The sequence below is a fragment of the Homo sapiens genome, chromosome X (assembly GCF_000001405.40).
Source record: "Homo sapiens chromosome X, GRCh38.p14 Primary Assembly".
Taxonomy (NCBI): Eukaryota; Metazoa; Chordata; class Mammalia; order Primates; family Hominidae; genus Homo; species Homo sapiens.
In genome coordinates this window covers 113,018,470-113,021,674 of record NC_000023.11, presented here as the reverse complement: position 1 = coordinate 113,021,674, position 3,205 = coordinate 113,018,470, and positions in this window count along the sequence as shown.

The following is a 3,205-nucleotide window of genomic DNA, read 5'->3' as shown; positions in this document are numbered from 1 at the left end:
TTCTCATTATATCTCCCTGTTATTATACAGGAGCCTTATTGATGTAGTGGTAAGGCGTAGGTGGAGGGAATGCATTTTATAGTCCTATGATTAGGTCCCAGTCTTTTAATAAACCTGTGCCCCTAGGCTTGACCTTCAGAAGAGCTTCTCAGTTCTTTCCCCCTTAGATGAGGCAGGAGGCTAGAGGAGACTGAAATTGGTATTTCCCTTTCCCAAGATGGAAAGCTAGAGGTGGGTGGAGTTGGTTATTTCTCTTCCCCCAGGTTTGTTAGGCTCTGGTAAAACTCTGATAGTTAAGCTCTGAAAACAGTTTTTCTTAATGACAGGTCTTGTTAAGAAGAACAAAATGCTCTGGGCATATTTCAAAATGATAACTTTTTGTTGCCCTGCCAGAACTACCACTGAACTTTTATCCAATCTTCACCATGAGAATGTGGTAAGGTTTCTGGAGGTAAAACTCACAAAATGCGAGGGCACTGCCCACCAAGACTGGGACCCCCACCCCCTGGAGTTTCTAACTCGCAAATTTGTCCACATTCAGCCTCCAGCAATTCATCAATTACAGTTTGTTTTCCTACCCCAGTACTTATTCCAGTGGTAATTTCTGCTCCTGTGTTTCTACTCCAATAAGCTGTGGTTCTCTGTATTCATCTGTCTGTCTCTCCAATTTGTGGGTTGGGGGACAACAGTTTGACCTACAATCTCAATTCTTTAAAGGATCTAGGAGGAGTTGTTGAGTTTCAGTTTGTTCAGCCTTTTTCTCATTGTGAAGATGAGAGTAATGACTTCCAAACTCTTTACTGGACCAGAAATTGAAAGTAGTAGTTTTTGTTTTGTAGGAATTTGTACATTTCATCCTGGTTATCTACTTTGTTGGCATAAAATTATACATAGTGTTCTCTTATAATCCTTTTTATTGCTGTGAAATCAATAATAATGTTCTTTTTTTCATTTCTAATTTTGATTCTTTCCAAAATGCTTTATTTGATCAGTATACATATGAGTTCATCAATTTTATCTTTTCAAAGGAAAAAATTTTTGGTTTCTTTGATTATCTCCATTGCTTTTGTACTTACTACTTCATTAATTTCTGCTTTAATCTTTATTACTTTCATCGTTTTAGTTGCTTTAGGTTTAGTTGGTCCACATTTTTCCAGTGTCTTAGATGGAAGGTATCCTTCTCATTTTTTAATATGAGCATTTACAGTTATACATTTCCCTGTTAGCACTACTTCAGCTACAACCCATAAGTTTTTGTATATTTTATGTTCATTCCTCTCAAAGGATTTTCTAATTACCTTTGTGATTTTTTAATTTGATCCATTGACTATGTAGGACTGTGTTTTTTAATCCCCACATATTTATGAAGCTCCAAAACTTCTTTCTCTTATTTATTTCTAATATTATTTCATTGTGAACAGGAAACATATGTTGTATTATTCTTATCTTTTCAATTTATTGACACTTGTTTTATGGCATGGCATATGGTCTCTCCTGGAAATCTTCCACACCCACTCAAGAAGAATGTGTATTCTGCTCTTCAGAGCATTTTATAGATGTCTGTTAGGTCTATTTGATTTATAGCATAGTATAATAATATCTTCTATTTCCTTCTTGATCTTTTGCCTACTTGTTCTATCCATTGTGGAAAGTGAGACATTGAAGTCTACAACTAGTATTGAATTGTCAGCCAGGTGTGGTGGCTTACACCTATAATCCTAGCATCTTTTGAGAAGAAAGCAGGAAGATCACTTGAGCCCAGTAGTTCGAATCCCACCTGGACAGCATAGCGAGACTGCATCTCACTATGCATCTCACTACAAAATAAAAAATAAAAAAAAAATTAGCCAGGTGTGGTGGTATGTGCCTATAGTCCTAGCTACTTGGGAGGATGAGGTGCAAGAATCACTTGATCCCAAGAGGTCAAAGCTTCAGTGAGCCATGATTGTGCCACTGTACTCCAGACTAGGCAACAGGACAAGACCCTGTCAAAAAAAAAAAAAAAAGTGTCTACTTCTCCCTTGAATTATCTCAGTATTTTTTAATGTGTTTTATGACTCTCTTGTTAGGTGAAAATATGTGTCCTGGTCTGCTAGGGCTGCCCTAACAAAATACCACAAATGAGATGGCTTAGACAATTGAAATTTATTATCTCCCTATTCTGGAGGCTGAAAGTCCAAGATCAAAGTACCAGCAGGATTGATTTTTCCTGAAGTCTCTCTCTTTGGCTTGAGGATAGCTGCTTTCTCACTGAGTCCTCACATGGCCTTTTCTCTGGGCATGCATGTCTATGATGTCTCTTCCTTTTTTAATAAAGACACAAGTCACATTTTGGATTACAGCCCCATCCTTATGATTCATTTTATATTTCTTCTTCAGCTACTTTGCATGTTATGCTTTTCTAAATATCTTTCCATGTCATGTAAGTTATTAAGTGTACTGGCATGAAATTGCTCATAATATCTTCCTATAATCTTTTTAATAACAATTGTATTTTTGTTATATATCCTTTCACATTACTAATATCGTGCATCTGTACCATATCTCTTACTTTTTTATTTCTTGCTTACTTTTGCCAGTAATTTTTCAATTTTATCTTTTTTCCTTAAGTTTGAAATTGGCTGTGTTGCTCCTCTATATGTTTATTTTGTATTTCACTAGTCTCCGCTTTTTTTGTTCCTTTACTTATCTTTTTCTTGCATTTATTTTTCTACTTTTTAAAAAATTCTTGAGATGTATGTGTATGCCATTAGTTTCCAGCCTTTCTTTTCTTTAATATAAATACCTGACTATTAATTTCCCTCTAGTTTTGCCTTAGATGAATCCAAGTTTTGTTATATTGCATTTTTGTTGTTAATTTTTATTTCCAACTATTTCACAATTTCCATTATCATTTCTCTTTTGATTTGTTAGTTATTAAAATGTGTGTCTTAACTTCTCAGCATATGGTATCTTTGTAGTTATCTATTGATATCTAACTTAATCACATGTGGTCAGAGATTATTGCCTATATGATACCCATCCTTCGAAATTCTAAAGCTATTCAGTATATTTACCCTCAAACTGAATAGTACAAGAACTTTCGTACACTTTAAGCCTTTTCCAATGTGATCAAACCTCCTCTTGACTTGTATGCTGTTATTCAGTATTTTGTTTTATCTGTTCTTGTTCCATAAGACATCATCATTATTATTGTCTAAATATT